The sequence below is a fragment of the Homo sapiens genome, chromosome 15 (assembly GCF_000001405.40).
Source record: "Homo sapiens chromosome 15, GRCh38.p14 Primary Assembly".
Classification (NCBI taxonomy): domain Eukaryota; kingdom Metazoa; phylum Chordata; class Mammalia; order Primates; family Hominidae; genus Homo; species Homo sapiens.
The window spans coordinates 34,383,913-34,401,892 of NC_000015.10; the positions used below are offsets into that span (position 1 = coordinate 34,383,913).

The 17,980-nt window shown below is 43.9% G+C and overlaps 1 protein-coding gene across 14 annotated transcripts in view; it reads right to left on the reverse strand.

Annotated features, from left to right (window-relative positions):
- Positions 1-17,980, reverse strand: part of GOLGA8A (golgin A8 family member A) — a 58,741-nt gene that overhangs the window by 4,845 nt on the left and 35,916 nt on the right. For 4 of the 14 annotated variants that reach the window (NM_001368072.2, NM_001386893.1, NM_001368071.2 and 1 more), the window contains 12 exons: positions 16,800-16,847; positions 15,243-15,291; positions 14,722-14,817; positions 7,211-7,514; positions 5,732-5,856; positions 3,921-4,040; positions 2,713-2,829; positions 1,828-1,866; positions 1,515-1,562; positions 1,342-1,426; positions 1,136-1,245; positions 49-135 (listed from right to left, as the gene is read on the reverse strand). In NM_001368072.2, the coding sequence (NP_001355001.1) occupies positions 49-135; positions 1,136-1,245; positions 1,342-1,426; positions 1,515-1,562; positions 1,828-1,866; positions 2,713-2,829; positions 3,921-4,040; positions 5,732-5,779 (654 nt within the window). In that variant the 5' untranslated portion in view covers positions 5,780-5,856; positions 7,211-7,514; positions 14,722-14,817; positions 15,243-15,291; positions 16,800-16,847. Of the gene's footprint in view, positions 1-48; positions 136-1,135; positions 1,246-1,341; positions 1,427-1,514; positions 1,563-1,827; positions 1,867-2,712; positions 4,041-5,731; positions 7,515-14,721; positions 14,818-15,242; positions 15,321-16,799; positions 16,848-17,980 lie in introns of all 14 variants that reach the window. The other 10 variants (XM_047432261.1, XM_047432257.1, XM_047432260.1 and 7 more) reach the window with 6 other exon arrangements.

The following is a 17,980-nucleotide window of genomic DNA, read 5'->3' on the forward strand; positions in this document are numbered from 1 at the left end:
CACCTGGGGTCATCTTCCTTCCACATCCCTCCCTCTGCAAAACCTCACCTGTGTCACGTGTCCTTTCAGCAGTATCTGCTCCCGTATGGACTGCTCTAACTGCCGCTTGAGAAGTGCTTTACTGCGGCTCGAGAACTGGATGGTGAAGAGTGAGAAGTTTCGATCTGGGGAGCCTGGGCCATTCCACACAGTGCCCCTTAAAAGGGCTAGGGCTAGGCTCAATATACAACTCGGTCAGTAAAGATCAAGGCATTTCCAAGCCCGTGGTCTGGTTTTGAAAAAAACTCAGTGAAGTTGGAAGGGACAAGGAGAGAGATCAGATAATATTGCTATTGTTATTACTCCCACTGTTTGAACCTTTGTGGAGTGCTTCAGCAGGTACCTTGCTAGCAATCCCATTTAATCCTCGCAACCACCAGAGGAGACAGTTACTATGATGCCCTCTCTTGGGTAGATGAAAAAACATGGAGTGTTTGAGGTTAAGTGCTTGCCTAAGATCACTTAGGCAGAGCTAGGATTTGAACACCCAGGTCTATCAGATTCTCTAAGCCCATTTTTCTGCTGGGGGTGGGGGCACGGTTAGGAAGGGGAAAATTAATCTTTTGTTCACTTTTTGAAAAGATGATACATTCACATAGTCCAAAACTCGGAAGGTATCAAAGGGAAGTATCTCCCAGCCACCCTGCTGCTCTCTCCTGAGTTGTTTACGAACACTTGCAGACATGTTTTATGTATATTATCATACTATGTACACACACACACACACACACACACGTTTCCTCTCTCTACAGAAATGGGAACATACTAAAGGTACCCTTCTGTACCTTCACAGTACAAGTACCCAATACCCCACACCCCACCTAGGACTTGGCCAAGACCACAGCCAGGTAAGGGCAGGGCAGGCACTTGGCCTCCAAGCTCTGCATCCAGTGCTCGCTCCCCACCGCGCCCCCCGACTCACCCACAGCAGCTGACTCAGCCTCAGGCTGCCTCTAACAACCATACACAAAAGCAGTGAGAAATGGCCATGCTGCCTTCTGGGCAGGACACTCCATCCTGCAGAAGGGACCTTTAGGCTCACTCCTCCATCTGTGAAGCCGGGCTCCCAGGGGACAGGGCAGGTGACTGGACTCACCCCATCCGGCTTCTTCTTCTGTGTGGCGGCGACAGCACAGAGAGACCACTCTAACTCTCCTATACGCTGCGATGAACGTTGCAGGCGGCCGGCCAGATCCTTGGACTCTTCTGTAATGACAGAGTTGACATGGGGCTCAAAGGACTCCGCCTTACAGACCTGTCAAAGTGCCAGGTTGAAGGATGACAGGGTGCCCAGATTCCCACCTTCAAAGTATCTGAGAGAATGTTTCATGTGATACAGGTCCGTATTTAGTTTCTTTTTCTCTGTGTTCAATCTCTGGATTTGACCCTTTGGGAGAAAAGCCAAGCAAGTGCTGAAATAGAAGGAAAGAAACATTCTCCGGAGGACAGGAGGAAACTTCACACCCTCCACTCACCTCTAGCTCCCTTTCAGCTTTCTGTTTCTCATTGTTTGCTTTCTTTTCCTATAGGAAGAGGAAGACAGAGCTCTTACCAGGGGGAGGCAGAGAAGGCACAGCAAGAGATATGCCCCCAGAATGCCACCAATGCCCCAGGACAGGCCCACCCATGGGACCAGGTTATCAGGGACCCTGTGGGGATGGGGTGGAATCTGAGGGGTGAGCCTCCTTCCCCAGGCTGGGAGTGGGTGAGACGAGACTGGGGCCTCTACATCTGAGTGTCCCCCAAACCCAGCAGTCATGTCGCCAGCAAACAAAGAAATCACGTTACTTCTTCCAGCTGATGTTCCACTTGTTTCTTCTGTTGTTTCTGTGGGGAGAGTCAAATTAAAGTGATGGAGGGTGGCCCCCTCAACTCTATTCCCCAGACAGGAAGCGGCAGGCAGGGGCCAGGAATGGATTTTAAAGGCAAAGTTCTCAGACCCAATGGGAACAGGAACTGTTCCCAAGCTCCCAAGGACAGAGGATTTGGGTCTTTGTTGGTTTTCAGCCACAGCCTCACAACTCAAAGTCTGAATCAGGAATCTCTTGAGAGGACAGTAACATAAACCTCTAGAGATGGAGTTTGAGAAAGGCTCCCCCTTCTGCCAGCTTGTGATTTAGAAAAGTGTGTTCATTCAATAGACATTTACTGAGCACGTACGGGCCAGGGATGGTTCTTCACAGCCGATATAGGATGGAAAAGAACAGACAAGAGCCCTTGGCCCTGAGCTTTCCATTCTAGGGGGCCTTTAAATCTCAGACTCTCAGAGCTAACACAGACCTTTGATACTCACTACCTCCTCTGGAAACACGAGCCCAAAAAGGAGAGGTGGCTTGTCCAGAATCAAAGAGCAAATTAGGGACTGAGTCATGGCAGAAATACGGGGCCCCTGACAACCAGTCAGGCCAGCACTTCCCCAAGAGGCAACAACCCCAGGGCGTGTGTAGCAAGGACTCGAGTAGGGGTGCCTGGAGAGGAGAGAGTCGGCAAAGAGGGCAGCAAAAGAAGAGCCATGCTGCATGCTCTGGGGTCCCGCCAGGTGAGGCCTGGGCGCCCCAGCTCCCTATCTGCCCTTGGCACCAGGGGCCCCCAGCCCCCTTCTTCAGGGCCCCAAGAGGAAACCGGAGCCCAGGATTGGCAGCGTGGAATCAGGGGACCCCACTGGACTCTTACCAAAGATTTGATGGTGTCATTCAGTCGACTGATTTTTATGGACCTCGAGTTCAGGACTGCTGCTTGTTCTTGGCACGGGCTCTGACGCGCATGCAGAGAGGAGGAGGCGGAGGAGGACTTGGGGGAGAGGTAGAGAGAACGATCATTAGGGCTGGGTTGTGTGTGGGCTGTCTCAGCTGGCAGAGGGGCACCCAGTCCCCGCTGCGGGAGGAGGTTGGAGGGCTGGCCTGCGGGGTCACTGCACCTCCGCCCAGAGCCTCCTACCTCCAGATCCTTCAGGGTAGCAGATGATGTAGGGCCCTCCCCGTGGATACCTGTTGCTGACTATAAGAGATGAGACTGCACATGGAGATGTTCTGTCCCCCTCAGTGTCTGAGCCCTCCGACTTCCTTTCTTCCCCATCAACTGGCAACATTTTCTTTTCTGCCTATCTTGGACCCTTTGTCCCATAACTCCTTTGTGCCAACTTCTCTCACGGTTCTTATCTCCCCACCATCCCACCCTGGGGGCCTTGCAGTGACTCCTGATGGGAAGTGGCTGTTCTCATTGTCCTGGCTTCCCCTTGAGACTGGGGATGAGGAAAATCAAACAGCAAAGACCATATCCTGGGTGTCCTGGGTGTTGACAGCAGGCCATGTACTAGGGATTAACATAAAATCGACAATTATCAATCTCATTGAAACTTCACAAATACAAGTCAAACAATACCACCTCTATCATACAGACGTGAAAACAGAGGCCCAAAGAGCTCAAGCAACTTGCCCTAAATCATATCCCTAGCAGACGGAGAGGCAGGATTCAAACCCAGAATTCTTTTCTTTTTTGAAACGGAGTCTCTCTCTGCCTTCCAGGCTGGAGTGCAGTGGCGTGATCTTGGCTCACTGCAAGCTCCGCCTCCTAGGTTCACGCCATTCTCCTCCCTCAGACTCCGGAGCAGCTGGGACTGCAGGCGCCCGCCACCACGCCCGGCTTTTTTTTTTGTATTTTTTAGTATTTCACCGTGTTTGCCTGGATGGTCTCGATCTCCTGACCTTGTGATCCACCTGCCTCGGTCTCCCGAAGTGTGGGGATTACAGGCGTGAGCCACTGTGCCCGGCCAAATCCAGAATCCTTCACCAGTACCCAACAGTCCATCCACAATCTTAACGATTGCCCTCTACTGCTCCTTGGGCCCCCTGTCCCCAAAAGCCTGTCCAGGCAAGACTCACAGCCTCAGATGAGTGGCAACCACCAGAAGCGGCCGTCTCAGGGCTACTGCCATTTGCTTTCGTGTTCCTCTTCGCTGCTGCTGGAACACCAGGGCGGTTTCTCTGCCAATATTCTTTGAACTGTGGGAAAGAAGAGCAGTAATACTCATGAGAACTATCAGCCCCTACAGCCACATCCTCCTTTATAGTTTTTATAAAATACTCTTATATACCATCTGATTTAATGACACCAACAACTCTATAAGGTGTCACAATCATTTAGGGACTGAGAGGGATCGACATCATGGCTAGAAAAAAAGAAAAAAGAAAAAAGCGATACTGGAACTTGGAAACTCAGTCTTCCCACTCTAAGCTCTGGGGTTTTGCCAGGCACCAAACCCAGAGGCAGAGGTAGAAAAGTAAACATTAAGTAGGCAGGAGCTGTATGTCATGTGGTTTAGAGTCGTACATCTTCACACGTCTGTTATTGGGAAGAAGTGCACCAGTACCTCTCAAACTTTTATATCAATGTGTCCTCATGGCAGAAGGCAGCCTTTCTGTGAAATCTGGGAATTTATCAGAAAGAGGACAACCCAAGCCTCATTTCAGAGAGAAGTCTGGTATACTCTTAGAAACCTATGGGACTGCCATCCCTAAGTACATTCATGTTTTTTCTCTTATCTCAAGATATCTCAAGAGAATCAAAGGAAACTGATGCTTCAGAAAGATGTCCCACATTTATCCTGTGGTACTCAAAGCACCCCAGCTTGAGATAATATGAGGAAGATTCAAACTGTCAAGTTCAGTCTCCCAAGATCTATTCCACAGAAGATGAGGAAATCTCACTTCAGAGACCACTGACTGAAGGTCCCAGACTGAAGTCTGGTCCCAGAACCATGGAGAATTAGAATATGAGGTGGAGAACTCGGAAAAAAATGTTAAAATCTCTTTGGAAAGTAGAAGCTTGGGAGAAAAACCAAACCAAACCCATTCTCCCATCGCCACCCAGAGACACTGTCAACGTTTTGAGCTCACGGGGGAAGTGTAGGCTTTTCCCACTGTCAATGTCTATGGTAAGGGAGTAAGGCAGCCTGAAACCTCTTGCTCCCAGGTCCCATAGTCTCCATTTCCCTTCCAGCTGGAAATTTCTGCTGTGACCAGAAGAACCAGAAACGGGGTGACAACGTTTAGGGGACTGGGTCATAAGACCAGGGCCAGTCTTCCAGTAATGACAGTTAGTAGGCAGACTGTGACATCACTACATTCCACTCCTCCTAGTGCGGGGGAGGGACCACATCAGCGCGATGTCCGAGTCTCCACTCCACAACGCGGGAGGGAAACACAGGGTTGTGACCCAGGTCCTTGGAGACGCCAGCACAAAGAGCTCAGGGAGGTCGACCTTGAGGCAGCAGGAGGGGAGGGCAGAGTCTGCAGCAGGGAGCCCCAGGAGTCACCAGCCCAAAGTCACCCAGGGACAACTGGCGAGGGCGGGGCCTGGGGCTGGGGGGCCCAGGTCCTTGGATATGCGAGCCCAAAGAGCCCAGGGAGGTCCAACTTGGGGCGGCAAGAGGTGAGGGCCCAGTAATGGAGTGGGGCGCCCCAGGAGTCACCCGCCCAACGTCACCCCGGGGTGATCGGCGAGGGCAGGGACTGAGCTGTTTGCTGAAGGGGCAGGGCTGACTGACAAGACTTTTGTAGGGGGAGCCCAGAAGCGCCGGGGTTGGGGGGCAAAGTCCGGTGTGCGTCAGGAGTAGTATGGACTGTGGCAGCGGTCTTGTCGTCGGAGGGGATCTGTGGCTGGGTTAGCGGGCCATGACCCGGTACGTCTTTACCTTTTTCTTGGCTGCAGCTAATTTACTCTGTCCAGTTTCTTCTGCCATTGTGGGGTGGGGAGGGAGGCGGGGCTGGGGCCACGTCAGCCAAATCCCAGCGAGCGCTGATCAACACATCCAGTCACCTGGAAGACAGCTGCGTAACTGACCCAGAGGCAGCGTAACCAGGGCCACAGTAGAATGCAGAATAGGGGCGTGGCCTTAATGCTTCAAGCCCATTGGCCAACGAGAAAGATGACAGGGAAAGGGGGCGTGGCCAGGCGGCAGTGTGTCCAGAGGGACCTGTGGCTCATCAGGAAAGCTGCCCATGCAACCGCTGTCCCCACCCACTCTGAGAGAGGGGAGGGGCCGCCCGCTCTGGGAGAGTGGAGGGGCTGGCTTTTGCTTTAAAACCCTTAAAACTTTAAAAATCATATGTGTGTATACTTTATATATATGTGTGTGTCTCTCTGTGTGTATCCATGTGTTCCTCCAGAGCTGTCTTCATTAACCAGCTTCTATGCAAGGTCTGTCATTTTGGCCTATATTTTTCATCTTCAAATACTGTATAAAAATTACCAGTATTACCTGAACTGAGATACAGATCCTATAAAAGTGGGAAATCCACAGCATGCTTGATGATTAATGAAGCAGACTATATTATCCAACATTCCAATGAGATAAAATAATCAAAATGATTTCTTTTTTGGAAAAATGTTTCTCTTATTCTCCTACATTGTTGCTGTTTTTTCTTTTTAAACAGGAAACATGGTTAATATCCGTAAAAACACAAAGCTTTTGGGCTGGGTGCGGTGGCTCACACCTGTAATCCCAGCACTTTGGGGAGCCCGAGTCTGGTGGATCACCTGAGGTCAGGTAGTGGAAGTGTGAGCCATCACACCCGGCCGGCTTCATTTCAGAACTCTTTCCCCAGCACTCCATATACTATGAATAATTCCTTTCTTCTTCTTTGGATAGCATTTTAGTCATATCTCTATTACCCCACTTGTCACATGATAATCAGTGGCTCACCCATCCATCTCCCTTGATTGCTCATGAGCTCCTTGAGAAGAGTCTGATTTTCAGCACCTTGAACAGTGTGCCACACATACATGCTTCATACGCAGAGAAGGAAATGATTTCACTACAGTGTAATTATTCCCAGAATTCAATATCTGTATTTCTAAATTGTTCTAGATACTCTGCCAACAACCTGAGAATGTTATGTTTTTTCCCCAAAACTTCCATCCATTATTGTGTGTCTATGGTCATAGTTAACTCAATTGTGACGTCACCTTTGGACAAGCCCATTAACAGTTTCTTTTTTTTTAGGTGATTTTTAATTTTAATTTTTGATTTTGATTGTTTCTTTTCTGTTTTTTAAATCTAGCAGTGTTTGGTAAACTTCAACATCTCTATATCCCCGTGTCTCTGCCCCGCTGGTCTCTGCTTGGAATAATGTCTCAAGGTTTTAGTCACCTGGAAAAAATTTCTACTCACCCTTAAAGAATCAGAAATAAATAGGCTGGGCATGGTGGCTCATGACTGTAATCCCAGCACTTTCGGGAGGCCAAAGTGGGCGGATCACCTGAGGTCAGTAGTTCCAAGACTAGCCTGCCCAACATGGTGAAACCCCGTCTCTACTAAAAATACAAAAAATAGCTGAGCATGGTGGCAGAGGCCTGTAATCTCAGCTACTCGGGTGGCTGAGGCAGGATAATTGCTTGAACCTGGGAGGCAGAGGTTGCAGTGAGCTGAGATCGTGCCATTGCACTCCATCTTGGGTGACAGAGTGAGACATCATCTGAAAAAGAAAAAGAAAAAGAAAAAGAAAAGCTTAAATAATACCTTCTCTGAGAAGCCTTTATATCTTCCTATTCTTTCAGGAAGTGTTGAAAATTCCTCAACTTTTGAAACATTTGTGCCTCTATTACTGTGTATCAGGCAGTGAACTGAGTGCCCAGGATAGAAAGATGAAACTGTAGATCCTGCCCTTACGGAGCTCATGGTCTAGTATGGAAAACAGCCATATGAACAAATAACCACACTATAGGTCTTCAGAGCTCAAGTCCTATCCTAAATACTGTGAAATTAATGTTCTGTGAGGTTTTGAAAGTACTAGGGCCAGAGACAATATGGCTGCTTGGATGACTTTCCATCCAAGTTAACATTCGGCCCTCATCACAAAGGGAATACATGCGTGCATCTTCCTTGCAACCCACCAGTGCCTAACACATCATATCACCACTTTTGAAATCAGGAAACAGGCTCAGAAGTCCAAGAGCTTGACCAAAGTAACTCAGCTGGTAGGTAGCAGAGCCAGGTCAGTATGATTCTTCTTCAATATCCTGCCAGCCACATGGGCAAGTGGCCTCAAAATCAACAAAAGACAGGTAGAGGTTGACATGCATCAATGGAGAGAGGCTCAAAAGGAGGATTTTATACACAAGAATAGAACAGAAATGTTCTGGAAGTATATCTGTGGATGTGAAGCAGGAGGGGGCACACCAGGTTTCACCTTGGTCAAGTGAATCTATAATTCCAACCGGGGCCTCGCCGCCCCCCACCCCCCCGAGCTCCAGACTTAGCTATCTGTCTTTCTTACTCTAATATAAAATCCACAGGGCAGGACCTTAATCTCTAGCTTGTTCACACAGATTAAAGCAGAGTCTGGCTTATAATAAGGACTTAATAAATACATGAATGAATAAATAAACTATCAAAGAAGCTAAAGAAACATTCCACATTCTTGCGGGAAGGGATTACCATGAAACAGACCCTAGCAGTCACTTACAAATACAGTTGACCCTCATCATTGGAGTATCCCATATTTTCAAATTAGCTTACTTGCTAAAATGTCTTTCTAAGTCCCAAATTAATACTTGTGGCACTTTCAAGGTGGCTCCTGGATAGACATGCAGTAGTGAAAACTCTGTCACTCTTTGCACACGTCCCAAGCTAAGGTCAAACAGTGACCTTGGTCTGCTTGTTTCAACTCTCATACAAAGATGACCTGAGGACAGAGACAGTAGAGGACACTGCAGGGTAGCGCAAGAAGCTGTGGCTCTGGGGCCAGTTGGGCGGGGTCTGAATCATAACACTGGCACCTGTTAGTGGAGTGGCCTCAGACAAATCACTTACAATTCTGTACTTCCTTTATTCTTTTGGAAAGAAAGAAAATTCAATCTACCAGGATGAGTTGTTTTTAGGAATTAAGATGATAACCTATATGACATATGTATTTATGTACATATTTACCCTGGAAACAAGGGTTTGCTATTTGATTAATTCAGTGTTCCAGGCAACTTTGTAGAATATTACTCCTGCAAATAGTAAGAATTGGCTGTAATTAAAGAAATAACAGAGATGTAGACAAAACAATTATTTGGGTGAGCTACAGGCAGTCTTCAAGAAGCTTCTGAAGAAACAGAACTTCAGCAGGCACTTAAGCTGTAGAAAAGGCTTGCAAGGAGATAGAACAGCACCTACAGAGAGAGGTCCAGGTGGGGTCAGGAAATGGCATTTCAGGAAGTCTAGAGCAGTAGAAGATGAGGCCAGAACACGGCGCCACAGTGCTGCTCTGCACCCTCTATACACCCTGTACTGCAGAACCTCACTCTCTGCATTTAGTTCTTGGTTTCTAATTCTCTCTTCCATTAAACTGTGAGCCCCTCAAGGTCAAGGTCTCTAAGAAGAAACCATAGCTACAGTCCTCTAAATTTGAAAACAAGTTATTAAACACAGATACACCCAAGAAGACCGTACAAAAATAATGTTGGATTTCAATTGCAGTCATAGAAATTCACAACTGGTATACATTTGCAATCTGTCCAGGATTTTTCTCTGATGACTGCCGTAACTCTGTCATAAACCCTTTTCATTATTTGAGACACCGAGACATTTGTTAGAATGTTTGGGAAAGACATTCTAAAAGGGCAAGAAAGACCTTGATCTTTTTTGTGTAACTGATTGACTGGTTGACTGACTGAGATGGGATCTCATTATGTAGCCCAGGCTGGTCTGAAACTCCTAGGTTCAAGCGATACTCCTGCCTCAGCCTCTCTAGTGGCTGAGATTACAGGCGCACGCCACCATGCTGGGCTCTAGTGTGATGTATTTACGAGGCTTAAACATATGGTTCATTACACAAGGCTGGCACCTCAGAGTAAAGATTTTTTAAAGTTCACTCTAATAGACTTATTTCTCTATATGCAAGATACAATTTTACCACAGTAAAACACAAGGAAGCATACTGATATACATATATGTTACAACAGGATAAAAAAAAGCAATATAATTTTCTCCACAAAAGCTTGCAAAATCCTGGCCAAAACACAGTAAAGAGGATGTTAATCTCACAGCTCACGTTTCTCCACTGAGACCCAGGAAAAACAATGCCAGTTTTTGTACAGTCACAAAACTAAGCACTGTGAGAATTTACAAGATTTGGTTAACTTGTATATTCTCCCCACCCTGACAGACAAGTCCCAAAGGAGCCTAGCAGTTTTACCCCAACATTTCAATCTCCTCCAACCTCCAAAATAAAACCCTCACTGTCCAATATCTCAATTTATATTTTCAAACGTCTAAAATCTTAATCGAAACAAAGAGCAGTGCATTAGCTTTGCCGCCATAGAATGCTTGGTATAATTTTACTTAGGCACATCACAGATTGTGCTATTGCCTAAAAACATATGGGTAGAACCAACATTCCTAGAAACCAAACGCATATATTACGAAGGTGAAAGGGAATAGGGAGTGTTGTTTTTAAACAGATAGAACGCTGTGATTGTCCACTCATAGGTTAGGTGTGATCAAATCACATCGTGCTGTACAGCTAAGTATGTCCTATATTGTATGACAAAGTAGGGTAACACATTATTTATTGAGGACCTGTTGGGTACACAGAGGCACACCACAAGCTGTAAAAGACTTCATTCTTGCCCTCAAGAAACTTCCAAGTTTCTAGACAGCCTGATAGAAGGTAGTCGAAAGCAAATACTTCAAGCACTAGCCATCACAATTACCTTAGGTATTTACGCTACCCTTCTACGAGTCTCTGAATATTTCGAGGCCCCCTTTCCTATTTCCCATGGGCTCTATGGCTCAACATTCTTTACAGCCACAGGCTTTCCTGGACTTTACGTTATTATTGAATCAACATTGCTCACTATCCGCCTCCTTTGCCAATTAAAATTCCACTTTACATCCAACCACCACTTTGGCTTTGAAGCCACTGCCTGATACTGACGCTCTGTCGATGTACAATGACTATTCTTACACGTCTCTGTCTACTGAGGAGGATCCTACTCTTTTAACAGAAACAGTGCCATTGACTTCCAATCAACTAGTTTCCATAATATCCAAAATATTAGATAATATTCCATTATACTCCCAAAACAAATAATGAGTGATGTTCTCTCAAATACACGTATAATCAAATGTGACATTGAGAAGATGGGGCGACCTTTGACTCAGAGATTGTATTCAGGCCTTTGTAGATGCATTTATTTGACATAATTATGCATTTAAAACATAAGTTAAATTGTCATCAGCCTGAAATTATAGGGGCTTTTGTTGGTGAGAAACCTATTTTATATATAATCGTTTACCCATAGAAATGTTTTTGATTAATGTTATCTGTTAAAGACTTCAGTTCACAATATTTCCCCTGTTAATAGTATATATGTTTTTGGAGTTGATCTGGAGAATTTGAGGACCACGTTCTAATCGCTATCTGATGCTATTCTGGGAGGACAATTCATTGCCTTTGGGTTGCTGGGGGTTGGAACTTGAAGGCGGGTCTGAGTCTGGAGACCTTGCCACTGACTTTTGGAAAGTCTGTTGATTCTACCTTTGGAAGTGCCTTTACATGCCTTATGGAAGGCCGGGCATGGTGGCTCACGCCTGTAATCCCAGCACCTCGGGATTATTGATGAATAAATCAATTTGGGAAATGCTTGGTAAATTCAACGGGACCTCTCAGAACAATGAATTTATATGGCCACGATGTTGTTTTCTGGTTTGTTTGTTTTTTTGTTTTTGTTTTTTTTGCAAAGAGCATTCGGAAGACTTTCTAGTACACCAGTTTGGGAACTGTTGGTGGAGGAGTCAGGGTAATTAGGCTTTGGACTATTCCAGGTACAGGTTGTCACTGTATTCAAGGAATTGTTCTTAGTCTTTGTATATATCCGAATTAACTATAGCAAATTAACAAGCAGAAATATAAGAATTGGGCCTTGGAGGGAGGGAGAGGGCGAGAGAGAGGGGTAGATAGAAGTTTCCTATTTTAACTATGGTTCAATTCTAAGCATTCTAAAATTTCATTGGATTCTTTTAACTATGAATTACAAGGGTGTTTAATTTCCAAGTTCATGAAGCCTTTGGTTAATCTCTTCATTATTAACTTCTAACCTTAACTGCTTCATATTTAAATTATCAATTTTATGGTGTGGATTGTACCAATTGTTTTTCAATCTTCTGACGTGCTTAATGGATTAATACATAATTAATGTTTCTCCCACAGTCCACATATGCTTGAGAAGAATACAGAATATCTGATTATTGGGTACAGAGGTCTATATTTGTCCATTACATCACGTCCATTCACGGGTTATTCAAATCTATATATGGGCATTCTGTGTAACTTACTTATGGTAAGCAGGGTATGTTGAAATCTCCAAATACAATGGCAGACTCGTCAATTTCTCCCTGTGGTTTTATCAGTTTTTCCTCTGTATTTTGAGTCTATTTTGATAGGTACATAAAATATGAAAATTGCTACAACCTCCTAATTAACAGTCAGTTGGCATCAAGCTGTTACTAATGCTTTGTGTTCCAACATCCTATCTTGTTTGAAACTGAAGCTCCATCAGTTGTTTTGGTTAATGTATACCGGCATATCTTTCTCTCTCTCTCTCCTTTATAAAAACTTTCAATCTTTTCACATCCTCATAGTTTCAATAAGATGGATTAGAACAGCTGGATATCGTTTTATTAGTTCCATCTGTCTAACTGGTAACTTTAGTCCATTTACAGTTGTTGTGACTCATTTATGTGGACTTCCTTCTGTCACCTTTAGAACTTCCATTTCTCTCACTTTCCAATATAATTTTAATATCTCCTCCTGGGATTCCACTAAGACGTATTTTAGACCTCATTCTGATCTCCCTCTCCCCGCCAACCCCACCAACTTCTGCCCTGTCATTTATCCTCATATCTCTCTGTGTAACATATGGACTTACTTTTTGGAGATAATGGTCTAACCAATTAATCCTTTCTTCTGGTGTCTAATCCATCCACTCGGTTTCTTATTTCAACAATTCCATTTTATATTTCCTTATTTCATTTTATTCTGAGACAGAGTCTCACTCTGTCACCCAGGCTGGACTGTAGTGGCACGAACCTGCAGCCCTGGCCTCCTGGGCTCAAGTGATCCTCCCACCTCAGCCTCCTGATTAGCTGGGAGTATAGGCAGGTAGGTGCCCCATACACAGCTTTTTTCTTCTTCTTTTTTTTTTGGTGGTGGTGGGGTATTTTTTGGAGAAACGAGTTCTCACCATGCTGCCCAGGCTTGTCTCCAACTCCTGGGCTTATGCCATCCTCCCGCCTCAGCCTCTCAAAAAGTGCTGAGATTACAGGTGTGAGACACCATACCCAGCTATATATTTTATTTCTGTAAGTTCTATTTCATCCATTTTCCTTTCAGGTCTTCCTCATCATTCCTGGTGGTCTTACTGCTCCTGCTCGCTCAATTTTATGAGTCCATCTTTTTCTTATATAATACATTTATTTCACATGTAACTATTTTCTCACAATTCTAATATTTGAAGTCTGTATTCTGTATCTGATAATTCCAAAACCTACAGTCTTTGGGAAACATTCATTGTTTCTGATAATTCTCAAATATATTGGGTTCACTACTTGAATGCTATGATTTCACTGAATTCATAGTTGCCTGCTTTTAATCTTTGGGAATCCTACAGGCTTAAGTTAGAGATGGTTTCCTAGAAAAAGTATCTGTGCGTGCTTCTGATGAGAGCTGTGGGGACAACTAACAAGAGACCCCTTTACCACCGTCCGTAATCCTGATATTCTCTTGGATTCTCCTGGAGAATGTCAGGATTACACAAGGTTCTCAAATTTGGCTCCCCAACCTTGCTCATTTATATACAGAAGACTAGACTGCTTAGTATAGGTGATGACTCACTTCCTCCTACCCTGGAAAAAACAAAACAGATCTCTCATCTGAATGTGATCACAGACTAGGAAATTCTGAAGGTGAATAACTGGAGGCTGTAGGCAGCAGGGAAAGACAGGTGTCTTTCCTGACCATAGAAATAGGTCACAAGCTGCCCTAAAGGCTGTGTGCTCCACCAGGATTTCACTATTTAGCTCAACCAGCAGTCCCTCTGTAAGAGTGAACGGAAGCTTCTTAGAGCACCACGCTGCCTTTAAACCACAAATTCTTGCTAAAAGTCATGGTCATGGTAAAAAACCTATGGCTTTGCAAGGCTTTCTTGGTAATGTCCTAGAATTAAGGTTAAGCCTGCGTTTCATGGTAACTGAACAGGAAACCAGCCTGACCAACATCCTTCTCCCCAATGGCTTGCTCTCAGCTCCTCTTGCTTGGGCCTTGGGCAGCCAGACGGTCTGGTTTTAATCCTTGCTCTGCCACCTGTGACCTTGGACAAGTTACCTACCTTCAGTTACCTCATCCACAAGATGCAGATATTAGTAATACCCTCTTTTTAAGTTATTAAGAGGATTGAAAGAGTTAATAAAAAGTAAAAAAAAGACTTGGTAGGCATAGGCACAGAGGCGGGAAAAAAGCAATAATAAAGAAATGATACTTCTATATTTTCTATAGATCATCTTTGTAACAAGAAGAAAACAAACCAAATGAAAATGAAACAAATTCTCTCAAAAAGAATTAAGTCAAGACAGGCAGAAGGCTCACAAAGTAATATAAAATATATCTTATGGTTTATGGAAAATTCTTAATAAAATACCTTCTTTGCTCCAAGCTGCACTCTGGCTTTGCCTTTGAGTCACGTGGCATTTCTTTGTACGATGACCGGTTCTGTCGAGTAGGCACTGCTTCAGCCCTACAGGAAGGAAAAAACATCTCTAGAAAACAGCAGCATTCCTGATTCCCACTTGAGGAGGCCTAACAAAACGGCATATGCCTCAACAGCAGCACATCAGTGTTAAAAAGTCTGGAGTCAAGGGGAAAAAGTAAAATTGGACCATTTCCAGAATCTCACCAAAAACAACAAACGGATGTTGCAAGTGGCCTACATGAGCAAATTAGAACCTTAAATAAAGGTCACTCTTAATGCCTATCCCAGCATAGATGCAGCACCAAGTACAGTGTCATTTTACTGGGTTACCTTTTTCATTCTTGAAAGTAGGAGCTATGAAAAAAAAAACACTAAAATTTCTTGAAGAGAACCTTCTACTTACAACCTAACTTACGTAATCGAAACACTCTATTGAGGGTGAAAATTGAGTATTATAAGAAAATAATCACCTGTTTTGTGAGAAGTTCAATACGTAATGCTCCTCCACACAATACATACCTTAGAAAGAAAAAAGGAAACATACAAAACTATCTCGAGAATTATTCCTGCTTAAACAATTTCTACATGCCATTACTAAGAAAGTATGCACACAGTAAACATGAGAAGAGAACATGCAAGCATGAACATACTTGTTAGGGATACAGGACTATGGGTAACTTAAAAACTCTGTTGGTATTACTCTCATGTAATTGCTCTGAAATTCTAGTCAACTATTTGCAATGGCTCTTAGAACAGAATACTTTGAATTTTTATGATATCAAAAACTAAGAACTTAGCCAAGTATTCCCAAGAATAGGAATAGTAAGCATACTTAGTAAGTATTCCAAAGAATAGGGGCAGAAGAACGCATTTCTTTAAAGCACTACCTCAGAATTCAATTTAGTAATTCCGATGCTGCCTGTAACATCAGAAAACAACTTCCTTAAAAACATAGCAAGTTGGATTTACCAAGTTGCTGACCAGGTCGCATTCCCTCCTGCCCTCAATCCCATCTTTGTGTTATACTTTATCTCCAGTACCATTTTGCTTAGTATTCATGGTGCTCAAGTTGTCACTGTGGACATCAGAGCCTATAAATATATATTGTTCTGGCTCCTTCCTGTACATCTTTCCAAGTCATACCTGCTATTCTCCAAAGTCTGTGAATCCCGACACTAATAACTTGGAAATTCAGTTTAAGGTCCTCTTCAGAAGGTCAGTTAGCTCAAGGCATCACATTTTTCTCAGGACTCTTAAGAAATACTCCAACCACAGAAAAAGGCCCTTCTTTCTGGTATCAGGAGCCATTGGCCACAAACACAAATCCAATAGAGTTTCAGCCATTTACCTCCCACATCGTCCCTTCCCTGAAGTTCTAGCTAAAGCAGGAAAAAATAATGAAAACACCACCTGCAGTCACGAATCCTCCAGTTTCCTGGCCAAGATTTCGTATTTCCTTCAAGATACCTCCCAAAGAGGACATGACGAGGGAGGGGCACACAGGGTGCTACAGGTACTGATAAGGTTTTATTTCTTTTATATATATGTATTTTTTGAGACGGAGTTTCTCTCGTCACCAAGGCTGGAGTGCAATGGCACAATCTCGGCCCACTGCAACCCCTGCCTCCTGGGTTCAAGTGATTCTCCCAGCTCAGCCTCCCACGAAGCGGGGGTTACATTACAGGCGCCCGCCACCATGCCTGGCTAATATTTTTGTATTTTTAGTAGAGAAGGGGTTTCACCATGTTGGCCAGCCTGCTCTTCAACTCCTGACCGCAGGTGATCTGCCTGCCTTGGCCTCCCAAAGTGCTAGGATTATAGGCATGAGCCACCACGCCCAGCCAAAGGTTCTATTTCTTAAGTTTGGTGTTGGGCATATGGATGTATGATTTAATGTTTTAAAAAAGGAAGATACCTTCCTAGTTTTTTTGTGTTTTGTTTTTTTTGTTTTAGGCCTGCGTGCTTTATTCGTTACCCCGTATGAATCCATAAAGAAGTAGCCATTAGCAAATTCAGGCAATACATACCGGATTCATACTTCAGGAAGACAACCCAGTTGACAACGACAACAGTTTCTATGATAACAAAAGTGAGAGAAAATACTGACATTAGGGTCATATCAAGAAAGTTCAATCATAAGATATATCCACAAGCAAAAATATACACACAAAAAGCTAAGTACGAAGCTTTTAGAAAACTACTACCATCCTTAGAGTAAGTACAAGAAAGTATTCTTTTATGTCTGTTTTTTTCATCAAAATACCGCATATAGCCATAGATTTTAAACCATTACATCTTATCTAGATTCCATTAACATTTCTTCTAGATCACTAACATTTCTTCTAGATTCCATCGTTATTCCTTTGTAACCTTTATTTTCAGTATCTTAAAAATACTTTATTAAATATAACACATACATTCAGAAAGTTACATAAAATATACCTGAAGGTATACCTTAACAAGTTATTGTAAATTATTTGCCCATGTAACCACCAACCTGGTCCTGAAATATATTCCAGCCAGTATCCAAGAAGCCCACAGATGTCCCTTTCAGGTCACACATCCCTACCTCCCACCTGGATGGACTCCTTCCCCTAACCTCTATGTGATCACCTCTTTGTTCTTAATAGTTTTACTGCCCAAGTATGAATCCAGAAATAAGTGTTTCTCTGTTTTCTTTTCACTTTTGTCCCCCTAAGAAGCCTTTTTAGAAGTTTTCTTCCTAATTCTATCCCCACTCCCCATGGAATTTTAACACCACAGATATACTGTATGTCGGTTTATGTTATACGGCCCTTTGGAGGGCAGCAGACCATTATAATAGGTAAGATTTTCTTTCACTCTAAGGACCAATTTTCACTCCACTGCAGGCGATATTGCCTCCACTAAGAATGTATGCCCTAACCAACATTAGTTTTCCCTATTGTTGAACTCTATATAGAGGAAATTGTACAAAATAGGTTTTGGGGCTCTGGTCTCTTTCGCTTAACATAGTGTTCAAGGTTCGTCCATCTTTCCCACATAGCTGTAAGCCATTTTATGAATACCACAATTCTTCATTTTCTTGGAATGAACACCTGGGTTACTTTCTGTTTGGGGTTATGATACATGATGCTACTCTGAACATTCCGGTGTCTCCTGGTGCCTATGTACTCATTTCTTGTGGAGTATATATCCACAAGATTCCTGAACCATAGTGTATGAGTAT